Source organism: Homo sapiens, chromosome 15, assembly GCF_000001405.40.
Source record: "Homo sapiens chromosome 15, GRCh38.p14 Primary Assembly".
NCBI classification, from domain to species: Eukaryota; Metazoa; Chordata; class Mammalia; order Primates; family Hominidae; genus Homo; species Homo sapiens.
The window spans coordinates 42941065-42960949 of record NC_000015.10 but is presented as its reverse complement, the minus strand read 5'-3'; the positions used below and the strand labels follow the sequence as shown (position 1 = coordinate 42960949).

Sequence of the window (19885 nt, the reverse complement as noted above, 5' to 3'; positions counted from 1 at the left end):
GTCTCTGCTAAAAATACAAAAGCTAACCAGGTGTGGTGGCGAGTGCCAGCTACTTGGGAGGCTGAGGCAGGAGAATTGCTTGAACCTAGGAGGCAGAAGCTGCAGTGAGCCGAGATTGCTGCCACTGTACTCCAGCCTGGGCGAAAGAGTGAGAATCCATCTCAAAAAAAAAAGAGAATGGCTTGTTGACAAATCATGCATTGAAGCTGTGATAATCCATTTGTCTTTTCTCTTGGCTCCACATACAGGTGGTGTGCAGATCCTGCCTTACTAAACTGTTTGAAGCAAAAAAACACCGTGGTCAGGTTGGTTTTACTACTTAATCCTTTCTCCCTCATCCACAAGTTGTGTTTCCTAAAGTAGTTGATTTGTTGAGCATAGTTTCTAGTCTGCTTTCTTCATTCTCACTCAGTACAGTGTTCCTGATTTCTGTTAGGTCTTTGCCAGAAATCAGATTCTTCCTACAAATGTTTTTTTCTTGGAGTGGCTGTCCTTTTCCTCTTAGATTATTAGAAGCCAGCAGTTCCTCTTAAGAGAATCTTTTTTAAGCTAGCACATACCTGTCAAAAGGCAAAGTTGGAGGAGGCATCATGGAGCTGCTGGTGTATTAACTTCAAAAGGTAGTGGTTTACAATATTTCTATAAGCCACTTTTGTTTTTGATTTTTTTTGTTAGAATAAAGCAAGATATACATAGAACTATATCCTTTTTCCTTCCTGTGTCCTTAGAAACTACCCCAAAAACTTTTCTTCAGCCCTCTTATCTCCCTTAAGTTGTCTCTAACAAAATCTACTTCTTAAGTACTAATTTAAATGCCACCTCCTCCATGAAGCCTCCCCTAATATAGTCTCTCTCATAAATGTCCACTTGTTTGCACCCAGAATAACTGACGAATAAGAACTGCATGCTTATTGTCTTTGTATCCCCTCCGAGGGCCTGACTGGTATTGTATACGGTGTCTAATTTTACTCACTTGAATCACATCTATAAACAAGTGGAGGAATTGACTCCCAGCTTTAAATACCAACACTAGTACCATTTTCCTGTGGATAAAGCAAACTTCAAGACAGTGCACATTTGCCGCCTTTTCTCATCTTCTCTCACCCTGGAACTCCTTTCACCTCCACTGTACATGTGCATATGCTGCTTTCACTTGTAACACATCTTTAGAGATTTAGTGATAATAGATCCAGCCTCTGTGCTCAGATGCAGTAGGAGTCACATCACTAAGAAAAGATCTTCGAGTAGAGAAAAAAGAAAAGTTTAAGATATGAATACATATTTTTGGACTGTTAATCTCACACAATTTTTCCTTTATTTCAATTCACTGTACACCTTTTATACATCTGCTATTTACCCAGCATGGTACTGAAATACTCTGGAAAATTTAAAAGAGGTAACATAGCTTTTGGTCATGAGTCATCTACAATCTAGTTATGAACATAAAACTTAAGACATTATAACATAAAGTATAATGATGTATGGAATATACCATTAGTGCTATAGAAATTTAAAGAGGAAAAGATTGTTAATGAGGCAAGGTTAGTCTTAGAGATCATTTTTAGCTGAGTATAGAAATAATTATAAAATTTAAGCCAGGCACAGTGGCATGCACCTGTAGTCCCAGCTACTCAGGAGCCTGAGACAGGAGTATTGCTTGAGCCTAGGAGTTCAAGGCCAGCCTGGGCAACAGAGTGAATACTGTCTCTAAAAAAACAAACCAAAAAGTGTCTAGGTTTGCCAAATAAATGTTATGGTTGTACTAAATATAGACAACTGAATTGAAGATGAAAAGAATTACAGAATTTAAATTGATTGGGGCCAGGCGCCGTGGCTCACACCTGTAATCCCAGCACTTTGGGAGGCCAAGGTGGGCGGATCACCTGAGGTCAGGAGTTCGAGACCAGCCTGACCAACATGACGAAACCCCGTCTCTAGTAAAAATACAAAAAATAGCTGGGCATGGTGGCAGGCGCCTGTAATCCCAGCTACTCAGGAGCCTGAGGCATGAGAATCGCTTGAACCCAGGACGCGGACGTTGCAGTGAGCCGAGATCGCACCATTGCACTCCAGCCTGAGGGATAGAGTGAGACTCTGCCTCCAATAAATAAATCAATAAATTGGTTGATTGGTTGATTGACTGGGGTTTGAGGAGAGAATTTCACATTATTCAGATGATCTTCCCCAATACATGCAAGCAAGGCTTTTATTGTATCTAGTTTGGTGAGAATGAGTAACATTTGCAAGCATGTATTAAGTACTAAGTATATTGTGTTTTACTTCAGTATCTCATTTAGTCCTCAACCGCTCTATATGTTTCCTTAATGCTAATATTCATATTTAATTTGACATTTCTTAAATCAATATTAGCCTTTTAATTGATAAGTTCATTTAATGTAATGTTTCTCTCCCTCCCTTCCCCAGAACCTGATTTGATGGTGGCCCCATGATTGGAGTATGGTATATTTTATCCCTAGTTTACAGACAGGGAAATACAGGCTTAGGTTCAAAGACTTGTGAAGTGTCAGAGAATTTAGGATTTGTAACCAGCTCTAATTTCAAAGGCTGTGTTCTTAACTACTACTTTATGTTACTTCCCTATACAGTACAGAAATCTAGCTATAACAGTTTAGTCCTAGAAACTAGAGGAAGTTAAGTTTGGAAAGGAATCCAGCTGATGAAAGATTTGGAATTATAGGCTGAGAAGTTTGGATTTGATCAAGTCAACAGTGGGAATTACTTTGGATTGCAAGTGTAGATCCTTTTGTTATTTTTAAGACATTCTTCTATCACTTTGGGCAGTTTTTGATCTGGGGTTATTTACTCTAAAATAAAATTGCCTTTTAAATTACATTGTAGGTACCCTAGAAAAAGAAATAGTTTGATAGAGCTTCCTGATGACTATAGCTGCCTCCTGAATCAAGCTTCTCATTTCAGGTAAGGAGAGTGTGTATATATATGTGTGTAATTTTAAATCATTTTCTGAACTCGCAATTGGTATATGCCATAACTAACACACTTCCTTGTTTTTGTTTTTTTGTTTGTTTTGGTTTGGGTTTTTTTGTTTTTGTTTGTTTGTTTTTTAGACAGGATCTTGCTCTGTTGCCCAGGCTGGAGTGCAGTGATTTGACTATAGCTCACTGCAGCCTCAAACTCCTGGGCTCTTCCCATCTCAATCTCCCAAGTAGTGAAACTACAGGCAGGCGCCACCATGCCCTGCTAATTTTTTTAATTTTTCATAGAGACAAGGTTTCGTTATGTTGCCCAGGCTGGTCTCGAACTCCTGGGCTCAAGTGATCCTCCTACCCATTGGCCTCCCAAAATGTTGGGATTACAGGCATGAGCCACTGCACCTGGCCACAAATTTCCTTTTTTAGCGGTGACCTCTGAGTATCCTTCATAACAGTGGTTGTCAATTTTTTTTAAGTTGAGGGGAAATCCACATAACATGCAATGAACCATGATAAAGTGTACAGTTCAGTGGCATTTAATGTATTCAAAATGTTGTACAATCACCACCTCTTTAGTTTGCAAACTTTTTCGTCACCTTGTACTCACTAATCACTTCTTATTCCCCTCATCCCGTACCCTATGGTAATCTGTAATCTACTTTCTGTCTCTATGGATTTGCCTATTCTGGATATATTATATGAAAGGAATGATACAATATATGACCTTTTGTGTTTGGCTTCTTTCACTTAGCATGTCTTTAATATTTATCCGAGTCGTAGCATATGTCATTACTTTTTTCCTTTTTTGACTAAATAATATTCCATTGTATGTATATATAAGAGTTTGTTTATTCCTTCATCCATAGATGGGCATTTAGGTTGTTTCCCCCTTTTGACTATTACAGATAATGCTACTAAAAAAAATACTCATCTACAAGTTTCTTTGTGGACATAAAGTTTTCATTTCTTTTGGATGTATGCCCAGGAGTGGAATTGCTGAGTCATATGGTAATTTTGTGTTTAACTTTTTGAGGAGCTGCAAACTGTTTTCCACAGTGGTTGCACCATTTTATGTCCCAACCAGCAATGTGTGAGGGCGCCTTTTTTCTCACATCCTTGCTGGCCCCTCAGTGAACCACCAGAGAGATCTAAACATACAGCCTCAATTTTTGGAAGACGTCTCTATTGCCTACCCTGACACAAGCAAGCCACACCAGAAAAACAAGCCATCATCCCCATGGCTACCTGCCATGACATTGGGGAATAGAGGATGCTAGCCACTACACAAAATGCCAGCTTCTTCCTTTATTAAGCATTCCCCTGGATGCTGCAAGCATTTCACCAGGCTCCAGAGTTCCAAAATAGTTGCTTCAGGCTGGGCACAGTGGCTCATGCCTGTAATCCCAGCACTTTGGGAGGCCATGGTGGGTGGATAATTTGAGGTCAGGAGTTCAAGGCCAGCCTGGCCAACATGGTGAAACTCCGCCTCTGCCTCTGCTAAAAATACAAAAATTAGCCAGGTGTGGTGGTGCGCACCTGTAATCCCAGCTACTTGGGAGGCTGAGGCGTGAGAATCACTTGAACCCAGGAGGCAGAAGTTGCAGTGAGCCGAGATCGTGCCACTGCACTCCAGCCTGGGTGACAGAGTGAATGAGACTATGTCTCAAAAGAAAAAAAAAGTTGCCTCAGGCAGTTCTTGCTGGCTCAACAGTTGTTTCATTAGAGTGACTGATTTCTGGAGCTACCATTTTCTATGATATCACTCCTTAATCTTTTTTTGTTGTTGTTTTTTAAGCCACAAGAACCGTTATTAAACAAAATCTTACATGGAAGCCCATTAAACAGCAGAACAGGTAATAGCATCGTGACTCAGGTTCAAGCTTGAAGAGTGGAGTACACCCGCTTAGGCTTTTTTGGCACCATCCCCCCACCTCAATCAAACCACTCTAAAGCAGTGGTTCCCAAACTTTTTTATCTCTTTCACCCCTTTCACTGATAATTTCAAGTGGAAAAAGAACTGGATGATAACAAAGACTGGTGAAAACAAAATAGGTTAACAATATACAGGTACTCATTTTTAACATTGTGTGTGACTTACCTATTAGTTACTTCTGTAAGAGCATAAGCCTAAACATGTGTCTACATGATAAAATAATGTCCTGTAGCTTAAACATAATTTTGTATCTTATTATGCTTACCTTGCTATAATATGTTGTAAGTTATTTGAGTAGCATGAATCATGACCACCACCAGTGAGATGTCACTGAATGGAGGAATTATATTCACATCTGCTTTCACCATTGGGGGGTGAATACTTCATATTTGAATCATAATGCATTATGTCTTGAAAATACTAAGCCAAAACTTCTGTTGATGTAACTATGTATTCTGGATACTCAGGAGGCATCATATCACCTCCCATAGCAAACCACATTGATAATGATGACATGTAACAAGTAGTAACTTGTAATTAAAAGACAAGAATCTCAGTAGCCTGAAAAACAAAGCCTATTCAAGACTTTATTGATTTACTAGTAAGTAATCATCCTTTTTCCAAATTGCAAGAATTCCAAAGCTCCTTTAAGAGTTTTGTAATATTACTAAGCATTATGCAGCAGCCAGACGTTTTAGTAAAATACTTAAATTAATTCAAGATCTCAGTAAATACACATAACTCTTACATTTTGTTTTAAGGATAGCAGTTAGTAGTCATAATTAACTGCTTTCATGTAGTAGTCCTCAGTCATATGTGAAATAACTTGCTGTCATTTGAAGGAACCAAAAAAAAGGAGTGCAGTTTAAATTTGTTTTTGTTTTGTTTTGTTTTGTTTTTGAGACAGAGTCTCGCTCTGTTGCCCAAGCTGGAGTGCAGTGGCACGATATCAGTTCACTGCAGCCTCTGCCTCCTGGGTTCAAGCAATTCTCTGCCTCAGCCTTCCGAGTAGCTGGGATTACAGGCACCCGCCACCACTCCTGGCTAATTTTTGTATTTTTAGTAGAGGCAGGGTTTCACTATCTTGGCCAGGCTGATCTTGAACTCCTGACCTCGTGATCCACCCACTTCAGCCTCTCAAAGTGCTGGGATTACAGACGTGAGCCACCGCACCTGGCCGGTTTAAGGTTATTTTGAGGCCAGGTGCGGTGGATTATGCCTGTAATCCCAACATTTTGGGAAGCCAAGGCGGGCAGATTACTAAAGGCCAAGAGTTTGAGACCAGCCTGGCCAACATGGCAAAATGCTATCTCTACTAAAAATACAAAAAAAATTAGCCAGGTATGTTGGCGCATCCTGTAGTTCCAGCTACTCAGGAGGCTGAGGCACGAGAGTCACTTCAACGTGCAGGCACAGGTTGCAGTGAGCTGAGGTCACACCACTGCACTTCAGCCTGGGCAACAGAGTAAGACTGTCTCAAAAAATAAAAGATCATTTGAGGTCTTAAAGAGCCCCTCTTTGACTCGCTCTGAGAATCACTGCCCTGCGGAATGACTCAGGAAATTCTCTTATCTAGTTATAACCATTGTTTTAAGCCATGAAGTTGGGGAAGTTAACTGGCCCAATAGGGTCTTCAGTAGCTCACACCCTAGCCACTGTTACAGTATAAAATTGACCTTCCTGTTCTAGCTCCCTTTCTAGTCAATCATCTAAAGGAATGGTTGGGTCACTTTACCTTTCAGCCCTCAAACAATTAGCTAATTAGTTTCAAAGATTGCATCCATCTCTAAATTCAGTAATTTTCCTAATCTTGGGGCTACATTGCTACCACAAAAGCCTGGTGAATAGATATTATCTTCCAGGCATTAAGAATACCAGGTTGGCTGAGTACAGTGGCTCATGTCTGTAACCCCAGCACTTTGGGAGGCTGAGGTGGGTGAATCTCTTGAACTCAGGAGTTCAAGACCAGCCTAGGCAACATGGGGAGACCCTGTCTCTACAAAAAATACAAAATAATTAGCTAGGCTTGGTGGCATGTGCCTGTAGTCTCAGCTACTCGGGATGCTGAGGAGAGAAGATCACTTGAGCCGAGGAGGTTGAGGCAGCAGTGAGCCGTGACTGTGACACTGGACTTCAGCCTGGGTGACAGAGCCAGACCCTGTCTCAAAAAAAAAAAAAAAAAAAGAATATCAAGTTGTTGGCTCCTCGGAGGATCTGTGGAGAGTGTTGGTCTTTATTAATCACAATGAGGATCCTTCTGGATGATATTACCACTTATGATTTCACATAAGAATGAAAATCAATCCTATGATGTCTTCCAGTTTTATTGTCACCACCAATTTCCATAAGACAGAACCATCCCTAGTGTTGGAGGGTGGCTGCTCAGTCATATACTTTAGGCTCCCTCCCAGCTTTTCCTCTGTAGGATGTCTAATGACTCAGACTCAGCCATCCTGTGTTAAAGATGAAAGAAGATGTTGGCTTTATCCAAAAAGGGCTATAATTATGTTCTGGAGCAACCTCCCGGAAGTGAAAATAGTCCTCTCATCCTATGCGCAGAGTCCCTCTGCTCCTATGGAGACAGGTGTTTTTTGTTTTGTTTTTTATCCTGTCTGAGAAACTGGGGATCAGAAAAAAGGCTGTCAGTACCCTATTGGAGATTCTTTCTGATCTTCTTTATTCCGACCCCAGTGTGGGCCTAGTTGGATCTCTCCTTCGGTTGCATTTATCTTCTACTTCCCAAATTAAGGAATTTGATATTTCCCATTGTGTTCAGTGTACAGCATAGATGGGAGGAGCATGGGAAACTCCTTTTTAAAAGATAACCATTATCCCCCTTGGTGGGGCATTATAGCACGCCTCCAGCATACTATGTAAAATGGTCTCATCATAAAACACTAGTTGACTCAAGCAAGTCAGCACTATCACTTTTTCCTTCCTAAGACTTACTGTGATTCCCAGATGGAAGGCTGGGCCAACTCAAAGGCTACAATCTCTCATTTCAGTCCCAGCTACTCGGGAGGCTGAGGCAGGAGAATTGCTTGGACCGGGGAGGCCGAGGTTGCAGTGAGCCGAGATCATGCCATTGCACTCCAGCCTGGGTGACAGAGCAAGACTGTCTCAAAAAAAAAAAGAAAAGAAAAGAAATGGGGGGAATGTGTTTGGACCCTTACTGTAAATTTTAATTTTTTTTCTTTTAAACAATTGCATACTTACAAGGTCATATTCCTTCAACATCGAAGACACAAGCTTGACTAACACAATACAGAGGAGGCAGGTAACTGTAAATTGGGCATGTCAGATGAAGACTGGAGTCTATCAGTGAATCTCAATCACAAGGCATATTCAACCACCATACTTTATGAGAATTATCAGGACACCATTTATGTAATATAGATTTTCTTACTATGGATTAATTGGAAGATTTTCCATGAAGCCCTTTTAGGGGGCATATTAAAGAGGAATTGGCTAATTAAATGTTTCCTTGTGTTTTAAGAGCTTCCTTGCTGGAAAGGGGTCAGTGATGAAAACATGCTTGATTGCTAACAGGATATATGGTACTTATTTGTTTTGTTTTGTTTTTCCATCATTCTCTAAATGTTTTCTTCTCTTTTGAGGTGCCCACGGTCTGCAGATGATGAGCGAAAGCATCCTGTCCTCTGCCTTTTCTGTGGGGCTATACTATGTTCTCAGAACATTTGCTGCCAGGAAATTGTGAACGGGGAAGAGGTTGGAGCTTGCATTTTTCACGCACTTCACTGTGGAGCCGGAGTCTGCATTTTCCTAAAGTGAGTAGTGAGTGTTCTGGAAGCTTCATGATGAACTTAAGGAATCTGGATCCAATCTGGGGGTCACTATGGTGGGACAGTGTGTTGATAGCAAATAATCAATCAGAAGTTAGAGTATTAACCTGTTATTGACATGAAATTGCATTTGAGAAGATACTGTGAAAAAAGAATAAGTTTCTGTTCACATTTCCATTATTTATGGAAAATCTTAAATAGGATAGAGTTTGTATTAATTGCTCTGGTATTATATAATACTCAGGTGTAATGAAAGAACTTCAAGTCCTAAAACTTGTATTTAAAAAGTACTCTTCCTGGAAGATGAGCTCTTTAAAATAAATAAAAATAAACAAATAAAAGGTACATGTAGGCCAGGCACAGTGACTTATGCCTATAATCCCAGCACTTTGGGAGGCTGAGGCAAGAGGATCACTTGAGGTCAGGAGTTCAAGATCAGCCTGGGCAGCAAGGCGAGACCCCCATCTCTATAAAAAATTAGCCAGGCATGGTAGCACATGGCTGCAGTCCCAGCTACTTGAGAGGCTGAGGTGGATGGGCTGCTTGAGCCTGGGAGTTCAAGGCCATGATCGTGCCATTGCATTCTAGCCTGGGCAACAGAGTGAGATCCTCTATCAAAAAAAAAAGTACATGTAAATTTTTACTTTAGATTGTCCTGTGATATCTTTATTTCATCTATCAACCCACCATTTCTCCTGGTCTTTCAGCAAAAGATTGAGGATAGAAAAATAGTCACTTATGGCCGGGCGCGGTGGCTCTCGCCTTTAATCCCAACACTTTGGGAGGCCCGAGGCAGGTAGATCACAAGGTCAGGAGTTCAAGACCAGCCTGGCCAACGTGGTGAAACCCCATCTCTGCTAAGAAGACAAACATTAGCTGGGCGTGGTGGCGCATGCCTGTAATCCAAGCTACTCAGAAGGTTGAGGCAGGAGAATTCGCTTGAACCTGGGAGGTGGAGGTTGCAGTAGGCCGAGATTACACCACTGCACTCCAGCCTGGTTGACAGAGCAAGACTCTATCTGGGAAAAAAAAGAAAAATAGTCACTTATATTTATGAAAAAAGAGTTTAAGTTGCCTGCAGAGAAATAAAATTCAAAGTGGATATATATCCTTTTTCTTTCCACTCTCCTCATGTAACACAGTTTCTGTTACATAAAGCCAAATGTCTTTCTAACTGTGAAATATGTAATCATTGTTCATAGGCATCTTTTGAACCAAGGGGAAAGAATGTATGGAAGCCAAACCCAAACACCTATTTTTAGGGAACCCACAGCAAGTAAACCCACTACCTTATCCCAGCTGTTTATTTTATAATTTATCTGTAAAGTACTTATCCCCCATATATGTGTACGCAAGCCTTTTTTATGTCTATTTCCCAAGAGACATAAAAGTCCCAGGTGCCTTCAGGGTGGTAGTGGCTCTTTTAATCTGCAGTGTTTCAGGCCAGCTCTAACCAGAAAAGCTGGCATACTTCCCTAGTTGATATTCTGTCTGGCTTGAGGTTATCAGACTAGGAGATGTGATTCTGTTCTTCTGTGAGGTTCCCTCCCCTCTCCAGGTTGTGTCAGGAATTAGAATAGAAACAACCCCAGCCACCATTTTCCAAGGTGTCTGTGGCTGAAGTAGGACAGTTTCCTCCCTTCAACAGATTCCGTCAGTATAAATGATCTCATTTCACCAAATCCACTGCTCCTTTTCTATAGCTTCAACAGAAATAGCAATAAGTGTTCTCTTTTATTTAGACAAAACATAATTTAGTCTATTTGTCTGTTTATATTGTCTTTTTACTGAATATCTAACAGATATTGGCCACGTCTTTTCTCTAGGTTAACATTGATGCAGTGCCTATCATTTGCACACATACACTTAACCATATTTCCTATTGATTTTCTCTTTCAGAATCAGAGAATGCCGAGTGGTCCTGGTTGAAGGTAAAGCCAGAGGCTGTGCCTATCCAGCTCCTTACTTGGATGAATATGGAGAAACAGACCCTGGCCTGAAGTAAGATTTTTTTTATATAATAGGAAGGTTTCAGTAAGTTCTCTTTTATGTTGATTGTTTTCTATTTCAGTCACATTATTGTATGTAAACGGTAATAGTTCTTTAATCACAAAAGGTAATTGAGGCCAGACACCGTGGCTTATACCTGTATTCCTAGCACTTTGGGAGGCCGAAGCAGGCAGATCATTTGCGGCCAGGAGTTTGAGACCAGCCTGGCCAACATGGTGAAAACCCGTCGCTACTAAAAATACAAAAATTAGCTGGGCATGGTGGTGCATGCCTGTAATCGCAGCTACTTGGGAGGCTGAGGTAGGAGAATCACTTGAACCCAGGAGGTTGCAGTGAGCCAAGATCGCCCACTGCACTCCAGCCTGGGCAACAGAGGGAGATTCTGTCTAAAAAAAAAAAAAAGTAATTGAGAGCTACTTTTTATTTTTATTATTTATTTATTTATTTATTTTGGGAGACAGAGTCTCCCTGTTTCACCCAGGCTACAGTGCAGTGGCGCTATCTCAGCTCACTGCAACCTCTGCCTCCTGGGTTCAAGTGAATCTCCCACCTCAGCCTCCCGAGTAGCTGGGACTACAGGCATGTGCCACTATGCCCAGCTAATTTTTGTATTTTTAGTAGAGACAGGGTTTCACCATCTTGGCCAGGCTGGTCTGGAATTCCTGACCTCAAGTGATCTACCCACCTCAGCCTCCCAAAGTGCTGGGATTACAGGCATGAGCCACCATGCCCGGCTGAGAGCTATCTTTTAAATGGCTTCAAATTTAAAAAATATGATGTCATTCTTTAGCACATAATTTTTTTTTTATTTTATTTTATTATTATTATACTTTAAGTTTTAGGATACATGTGCACAATGTGCAGGTTAGTTACATATGTATACATGTGCCATGTTGGTGTGCTGCACCCATTAACTCATCATTTAGCATTAGGTATATCTCCAAATGCTATCCCTCCCCCCTCCCCCCACCCCACAACAGTCCCCAGAGTGTGATGTTCCCCTTGCTATGTCCATGTGTTCTCATTGTTCAATTCCCACCTATGAGTGAGAACATATGGTGTTTGGTTTTTTGTCCTTGCAATAGTTTACTGAGAATGATGATTTCCAATTTCATCCATGTCCCTACAAAGGACATGAACTCATCCTTTTTTATGGCTGCATAGTATTCCATGGTGTATATGTGCCACATTTTCTTAATCCAGTCTATCGTTGTTGGACATTTGGGTTGGTTCCAAGTCTTTGCTATTGTGAATAGTCCCGCAATAAACATACGTGTGCATGTGTCTTTATAGCAGCATGATTTATAGTCCTTTGGTTATATACCCAGTAATGGGATGGCTGGGTCAAATGGTATTTCTAGTTCTAGATCCTTGAGGAATCGCCACACTGACTTCCACAATGGTTGAACTAGTTTACAGTCCCACCAACAGTGTAAAAGTGTTCCTATTTCTCCACATCCTCTCCAGCACCTGTTTCCTGACTTTTTAATGATTGCCATTCTAACTAGTGTGAGGTGGTATCTCATTGTGGTTTTGATTTGCATTTCTCTGATGGCCAGTGATGGTGAGTATTTTTTCATGTGTTTTTTGGCTGCATAAATGTCTTCTTTTGAGAAGTGTCTGTTCATGTCCTTTGCCCACTTTTTGATGGGGTTGTTTGTTTGTTTCTTGTAAATTTGTTTGAGTTCATTGTGGATTCTGGATATTAGCTCTTTGTCAGATGAGTAGGTTGCGAAAATTTTCTCCCATTTTGTAGGTTGCCTGTTCACTCTGATGGTAGTTTCTTTTGATGTGCAGAAGCTCTTTAGTTTAATTAGATCCTATTTGTCAATTTTGGCTTTTGTTGCCATTACTTTTGGGGTTTTAGACATGAAGTCCTTGCCCATGCCTATGTCCTGAATGGTAATGCCTAGGTTTTCTTCTAGGGTTTTTATGGTTTTAGGTCTAACGTTTAAGTCTTTAATCCATCTTGAATTAATTTTTGTATAAGGTGTAAGGAAGGGGTCCAGTTTCAGCTTTCTACATATGGCTAGCCAGTTTTCCCAGCACCATTTATTAAATAGGGAATCCTTTCCCCATTGCTTGTTTTTCTCAGGTTTGTCAAAGATCAGATGTAGATATGCAGCATTATTTCTGAGGGCTCTGTTCTGTTCCATTGATCTATATCTCTGTTTTGGTACCAGTACCATGCTGTTTTGGTTACTGTAGCCTTGTAGTATGGTTTGAAGTCAGGTAGCGTGATGCCTCCAGCTTTGTTCTTTTGGCTTAGGATTGACTTGGCAATGCAGGCTCTTTTTTGGTTCCATATGAACTTTAAAGTAGTTTTTTCCAATTCTGTGAAGAAAGTCATTGGTAGCTTGATGGGGATGGCATTGAATCTATAAATTACCTTGGGCAGTATGGCCATTTTCACGATACTGATTCTTCCTACCCATGAGCGTGGAATGTTCTTCCATTTGTTTGTATCCTCTTTTATTTCATTGAGCAGTGGTTTGTAGTTCTCCTTGAAGAGGTCCTAAACGTCCCTTGTAAGTTGGATTCCTAAGTATTTTATTCTCTTTGAAGCAATTGTGAATGGAAGTTCACTCATGATTTGGCTCTCTGTTTGTCTGTTATTGGTGTATAAGAATGCTGGTGATTTTTGTACATTGATTTTGTATCCTGAGACTTTGCTGAAGTTGCTTATCAGCTTAAGGAGATTTTGGGCTGAGACAATGGGGTTTTCTAGATATACAATCATGTCATCTGCAAACAGGGACAATTTGACTTCCTCTTTTCCTAATTGAATACCCTTTATTTCCTTCTCCTGCCTAATTGCCCTGGCCAGAACTTCCAACACTATGTTGAATAGGAGTGGTGAGAGAGGGCATCCCTGTCTTGTAGCACATAATTTTCAACAACTTCTCCAAAATTTGAAGGTAGTGTTTCCCCAAAATTTTTAAAGACACCAGCCATCTTAATGTTTCAGTGTTCTATTGTTTGTAATCAACCTTTCTTCAGAACTACTTAAAAGGATTGACACTGATAGTATAAGTTTGTAGTGTCCAGTGATGAAGTTTGTTTTAGAGATATTGTTTCCATTGCAATACTTGAAACTTTTTTTTTCTTTGTTTTTTGAGACAGTCTCTCACTCTGTCACCCAGGCTGGATCTCGGCTCACTGCAACGTCTACCTCCAGGGTTCAAGCGATTCTCCTGCCTCAGCCTCCCAAGTAGCTGGGACTACAGACATGCACCACCACACCCGGCTAATTTTTTTTGTATTTTTAGTAGTGACGGGGTTTTACTGTGTTGGCCAGACTGGTCTCGAACTCCTGACCTCAGTTGATCTGCCCACCTTGGACTCCCAAAGTGCTGGGATTACAGGCATGAGCCACTGCACCCAACTGAGACTTTTTATTAGCCAGCTATATCAGCCTTCTTTCCTTCTGAGCATTAACAAAATATTTAGAATCCTGAACTTTTCTGTATCCTTCCCTGGTGGTAGGAACTGGGGTCCTACTGATGACTTATGAAAATGAGGAGACTGACAGTGATCTCAAAAGTACATATAGATAAAGATTAGACCTCCTTACAATAAACTCTTTTTGGTTCACTGAAATTTTGTTCCTTTGAAATATTGCTCAGAAAGAATACACTTATTAGATGGGGCTTGGGACCTTGGATCACACAGAGCTTTCTTTTTATTGGGATGACATTTGACCTGTCTTTAGGTTTAGGGAGAAAAGCAGAGTGGTGAAAGTAGTTAATGACTGAGAATCTTAGTTGTTCCACAAGGGTACAAAGCAGAGTTTTAACATTAATTTGGCAGTTTAAAAATCCCCAACCAGGCGGCCGCGGTGGTTCACGCCTGTAATCCCAGCACTTTGGGAGGCCGAGGCGGGCGGATCACGAGGTCAGGAGTTCGAGACTAGCCTGGCCAACATTGTGAAACCCCGTCTCTACTAAAAATACAAAAACAATTAGCCAGGTATCGTGGCGGGCACCTGTAATCCCAGCTACTCTGGAGGCTGAGGCAGGAGAATTGCTTGAAACTGGAAGGCAGAGGTTGCCCTGAGCCGTGATCGTACCACGGCACTCCAGCCTGGGCAAAAAGAGCGAAACTCCATCTCCAAAAAACAAAAACAAAAACAAAAAAAATCCCCAACCAGCTGAGAGACTTGAATGTCTCAAGGAATTAGGATCTCACAGTTCTCCGTTACTGGCAACAGCCAGACTTAAGTCATTTTGGATTAGCTGTTATACAGTGTTAAAAACTGTGCAACTCTAGAATTGAAGTATAATTATTTTATTAAATTATTTGCTAATAACCAGCCAGTTTTTTGTATCGTAAGGACAGTTACAACCAAATATCTCTGAGTAGCAAAATATAATTTTAGGGCCTAGTGTTATACGTCAGGCCTAACCTCTACTGTGCAAAGATCATAAATTGAAGCTAGATAACAATATGAAGCCAAAAAGCTATTCAAGCTAACCACCAAAAAAGAATAGTGCTGCTTCAAGTTATAAACCTCAGTGACCATTTAAGTGAGGTCCCATAATGCCATAATATACCTGACCTATTTTATGAATGGTCAAGGAGTACATTTCTGCTTTATTAGCTAAGTAGCCTGTCAAGTTCTTAGTGATCAATGGTGAAGGGAAAATATCCCTTTTTAAGCCCTGTGCTGGTGAGTCCTCCCGGCTCCAGGAACATCTCAAGAGTGCATACTAATTTAGACAATAAAGATGTGGCAGTTACTAGATTCAAACTTACATGTTGTTTTTTCTTTTTTCCCTAAAGGAGGGGCAACCCCCTTCATTTATCTCGTGAGCGGTATCGGAAGCTCCATTTGGTCTGGCAACAACACTGCATTATAGAAGAGATTGCTAGGAGCCAAGAGACTAATCAGATGTTATTTGGATTCAACTGGCAGTTACTGTGAGCTCCAACTCTGCCTCAAGACAATCACAAATGACGACAGTAGTAAAGGCTGATTCAAAATTATGGAAAACTTTCTGAGGGCTGGGAAAGTATTGGAGGGTCTTTTGCTCCATGTCCAGGTTCACTTACATCAATAAAATATTTCTTAATGGAGTATTGCTTTCAATTAGCAAACATATGCTTCACAGGAAAAAAGGACATAGATCAATCTGTTTTATGTGCTAGTATTTCCAGGAATTTATTCCCCTTCATAATTTGTCTCATTTCATTTTATTTCATCCACTTGGTAGATGAAGTCACGTCAAACAGTTGTAGACATTTTATATGTTGGTTAACTCTTCTGCAATTTTGTATTTGGTGTTTTCCCCCCAAGTTTAGTTCAACTGACATTGGATCACTGACAAAATTCTAATAATCTGTGATAGTCTTCCTTGCAGTTAAAGAAGAATTGCAGAAACCATGCAATATACTTGGGAAAGATTCCAAAAATAAATTTTTTATTATTTCTCTTTTAAGGAAATACCCCTAATGTGCCACCTGCTGCTATCACCACAAATTAAACTCAATCTCTATGTGGACAGAGGATGATTTCTGCCAATATGGAAAAGCTTTTTTCTCACTGTAGGCCTCAAGAAAAGTTAGGGTAATGTATTTGTTATTCATTCCTGACGGTACAAAGAGCTTGCAGTTCTCACCTCTGACTACCAGTAGCTTTGTTGAGTTTTGAAATAATACTTGACATTTTCCAAAGGCAAATCTCATTCTGCAAGGAGATTGTGGCACCATCCTGTTTGACTCTCAGAAACCTCTTGTAATTCTGATGTAAAAACTGTAGAATGAAGATGAGAAAATTCTCGCAATGAGTGGATCATGACAACTGTAAATTAGAACAATCAGATTTAAACCAATTCCGCAGTCTTCTATATCTTTGTAAAAGACAAATCCTTGATGTTGTCTGTGTGCAACCTTTTCATAAACTCTGGTTTTATGACTAGTACAAACCACCAAAAAAGCCATGTGATCAATAGTCTGTGTCCTGTTATAACATGCTGTGGTTGAGCCATCTTGTTTATAAATAATAGAGCTCTCCTGAATTTGTGCATAGACTTCTTGGTTCCTGGCTTTTGTTTTTTGTATCAAGAGATTGTGATATAAAACAGCAGAAGATAAATGGAAACCTTCCATTTTAACTTACGTTGTTTCTGGGGTAATGTTAGAACCTTGAAAGATGCATTCAAAGACTGTATCTTATTTTGCCCTTGGCTATTAGTGTCTCACATATGTGTGTAAATGTTTTCCTACCTTCTTTTTGCTCAGCAAAGGCAAGCAAGTAAAATATATTTGCTAAGTGATTAGTGATGCACATTTGGGGCTAGATTTTTTTGGTACTTTTATGTAAAGAAAAGTGGATTTTGCAGTAAGGGATTGGCATGAGCAGGCGTCAGAATCACAATCATGATTTTCTACTTGAATAATTACAATTCAGAAGGTATCTGGATAAATAGATACATGTCTAGTGAACAATTTGTAACAATAACAGGTAAGGATCAGGAAATTCAGTATTCAGTTTGTCAGATTTGCCAGAATGATGAAAGTATTTGAACATGTGTGTTTGTTTCTTATATAATTGTATTGAGTGGATTGTTTGACTGGGAAATCTGGGCTAGAATAGGAAACAGAAGATACTGACTTCTACCCTAATAGATGGGCCCCAATTTAGCAAAGATAAACTGACTTTATTTTTAGTCCTTTTTATATTAACTTAATAAATTCTGGAGTTAGGCTCTCAAGAGGACAGAGGGACTGTCTGGCAATGGCCAGCCAGACCTTTACTGCCAAAGAACCCATTTCATATTGCGTTCCACTGATTGAGATTGATTCAGATTTTTGCACTGTAGATGAGCGTATGTCTCAGTGCTGCCCCAAGCCCCAGGGATTTCTCATTATGTTCAAATGTCCTAGTGATTTACCTTAATCATTGCAAACAATTATGCTTATGAAGTTTACTTACAAACAAGCAACTGAGTCACTTTATTTTCTTTAGTGTAGTATGTGAAGGCACTGGTTCAACAGGATGGCTCCAGAACTGTGTTTTTCTAATGTTTGGTAAGGGGCTAGTGAGAATTTTAATGATATGGTGAAGAAAAATATATCTGTATAATTAATTTATTATATTGGTGTATGGGCTGTGAGTTCACCTTTTAGTGGTCATTTGTCATTTCATAACAACTATGCATTTTGGTTCACTGTGATGATGATCTATATTTAGTGACTGCAACATGTTTATACCACTGATTCAAATTCCATCCATGATGAAGTTATACAAATAATGCATATATTGATAACTTTTATTGCAAAAATGTAAATTTAAAACTTGTATAATGTTCTTGTGCTTTTTAAAATAAAATATATGTGTATATTTAAAAAGAAAAATAGGGACTTCTCATGTTTGGGGATTTGGGTTTGAAGTATAAAAATCTGCTAGGAAGACTCTCCAGTTGAAACCTTTGTCAGCCGAGGCAAATGTTTTAAAAGACATAGGTGTTTAGTATACATGGGTCTCCAAACTTTTTAGCCATATACTCCATCAATAAATAGTTTTTAGCATGCATACCAAATAGAATATAAACACATAACACATATTTTATATTCTATATGCAGTGCTTTACTAATACATCATGCAAATTATAAAACATAGCTTTAAAAGGAGATTTAAAAATCAGTTAAAAATAGAAATAGATATTTAAATATCTTCCAATCCAATCTGCATCCTTTTGGGTATGCACGCTCTAATATGGAGACAGCTGTCTAGAGCAGCAGTATCCAGAAGAGTTTTGCAATAATAGGAATGTTCTGGCCGGGCGCAGTGGCTCAAGCCTGTAATCGCATGACTTTGGGAGGCCAAAGTGGGGGGATCACGAGGTCAGGAGATCAAGACCATCCTGGCTAACACGGTGAAACCCCGTGTCTACTAAAAATACAAAAAATTAGCCAGGCTTGGTGGCGGGCATCTGTAGTCCCAGCTACTCAGGTGGCTGAGGCAGGAGAATGGCGTGAACCCAGGAGGCGGAGCTTGCAGTGAGCCGAGATCACACCATTGTACTCCAGCCTGGGTGAGAGAGTGAGACTCTGTCTCAAAGAAAAAAAAAATGTTCTGTGTGTATTTACCATATGGAATGGCAGTCACTATTCTCATGTGGCTGTTGAACACTTGTGATGTGGCTAGTGCAACTGAGGGCCTGAATTTTTAATTTTTAGTTAATTTAAATGTAGTCATGTGTGGCTGGTGGCTACCATATTGGGCAGTATACATCTAGTGTGATGGTTCTCAAACTTAACTGTGCATTACAGTCACCTAGAGAGTATTAACAAAATACAAATGCCCAGTTCTCACCCTCGATCTGGAATCAATCTTGTGGGATTGAGCCTTAAAATAAGCAGGGTGGTTTTCTTCCATTTCTGAGCCATGACTCTTCATAAAATGAAGAGTTTGCTTTCTTTTTAGCTTGGTGATTTTCAGACTAAGTGCCAAAGATTCTGGGAGAAACGTAGGCCCGAGAGGGGAAAGAGTGCCAAAGCTGGATAGTTGTGATTTTTCATTTTGAGTTTCTGTGTAAGCTTTCATTTGAGAAAAGGGTACCTGGAATTTTTAAAAGGTTAGATGCAATTGCTTTAGTTTTAAGCTTTAAAATATTCTATGAGGGGGCCAGGCACGGTGACTCATGCCTATAATTCCAGCACTTTGGGAGGCTGAGGCGGGCGGATCACGAGGTCAAGAGATCAAGACCATCCTGGCCAACATGGTGAAACCCTGTCTGTACCAAAAATACAAAAATTAGCTGGGCATGGTGGTGCGCACCTGTAGTCCCAGCTACTCAGGAGGCTGAGGTGGGAGAGTCACTTGAATGTGGGAGGTGGAGATTGCAGTGAGCTGAGATTGTGCCACTGCACTCCAGCCTGGCAACAGAGTGAGACTCCATCTCAAAAAAAAAAAAAAAAAAAAAAAAAAAAAAAAAAAAAATTCTGTGAGGGGCAACACTGAAGGCAAAGAACGGTTTTTGTCTGTTTTTTGTTTTGAGTCGGAGTCTCGCTCTGTCACCCAGATCAGTCAAGCGAAATTTGGGGAAAAAATAGAAATGAAGACTAAGAAGGAAGACAAAAATGAAAAGTTACCAATGGAATGCACAGTAAGGAAAAGCTGGAAAGACCTGGGCATTGTGGCGCACCTGTAGTCCCAGCTACTTGGGAAGCGGAGGTGGCAAGAT

The 19885-nt window shown here is 40.1% G+C and overlaps 1 protein-coding gene across 1 annotated transcript in view; it reads left to right on the top strand.

Annotated features, from left to right (window-relative positions):
* Positions 1-18053, top strand: part of UBR1 (ubiquitin protein ligase E3 component n-recognin 1) — a 163142-nt gene extending 145089 nt beyond the window's left edge. The window contains exons 43-47 of the mRNA NM_174916.3: positions 249-305; positions 2860-2937; positions 8502-8672; positions 10587-10688; positions 15480-18053. Coding sequence (NP_777576.1) covers positions 249-305; positions 2860-2937; positions 8502-8672; positions 10587-10688; positions 15480-15621 — 550 coding nt within the window. The 3' untranslated portion in view covers positions 15622-18053. The remainder of the gene's footprint in view (positions 1-248; positions 306-2859; positions 2938-8501; positions 8673-10586; positions 10689-15479) is intronic.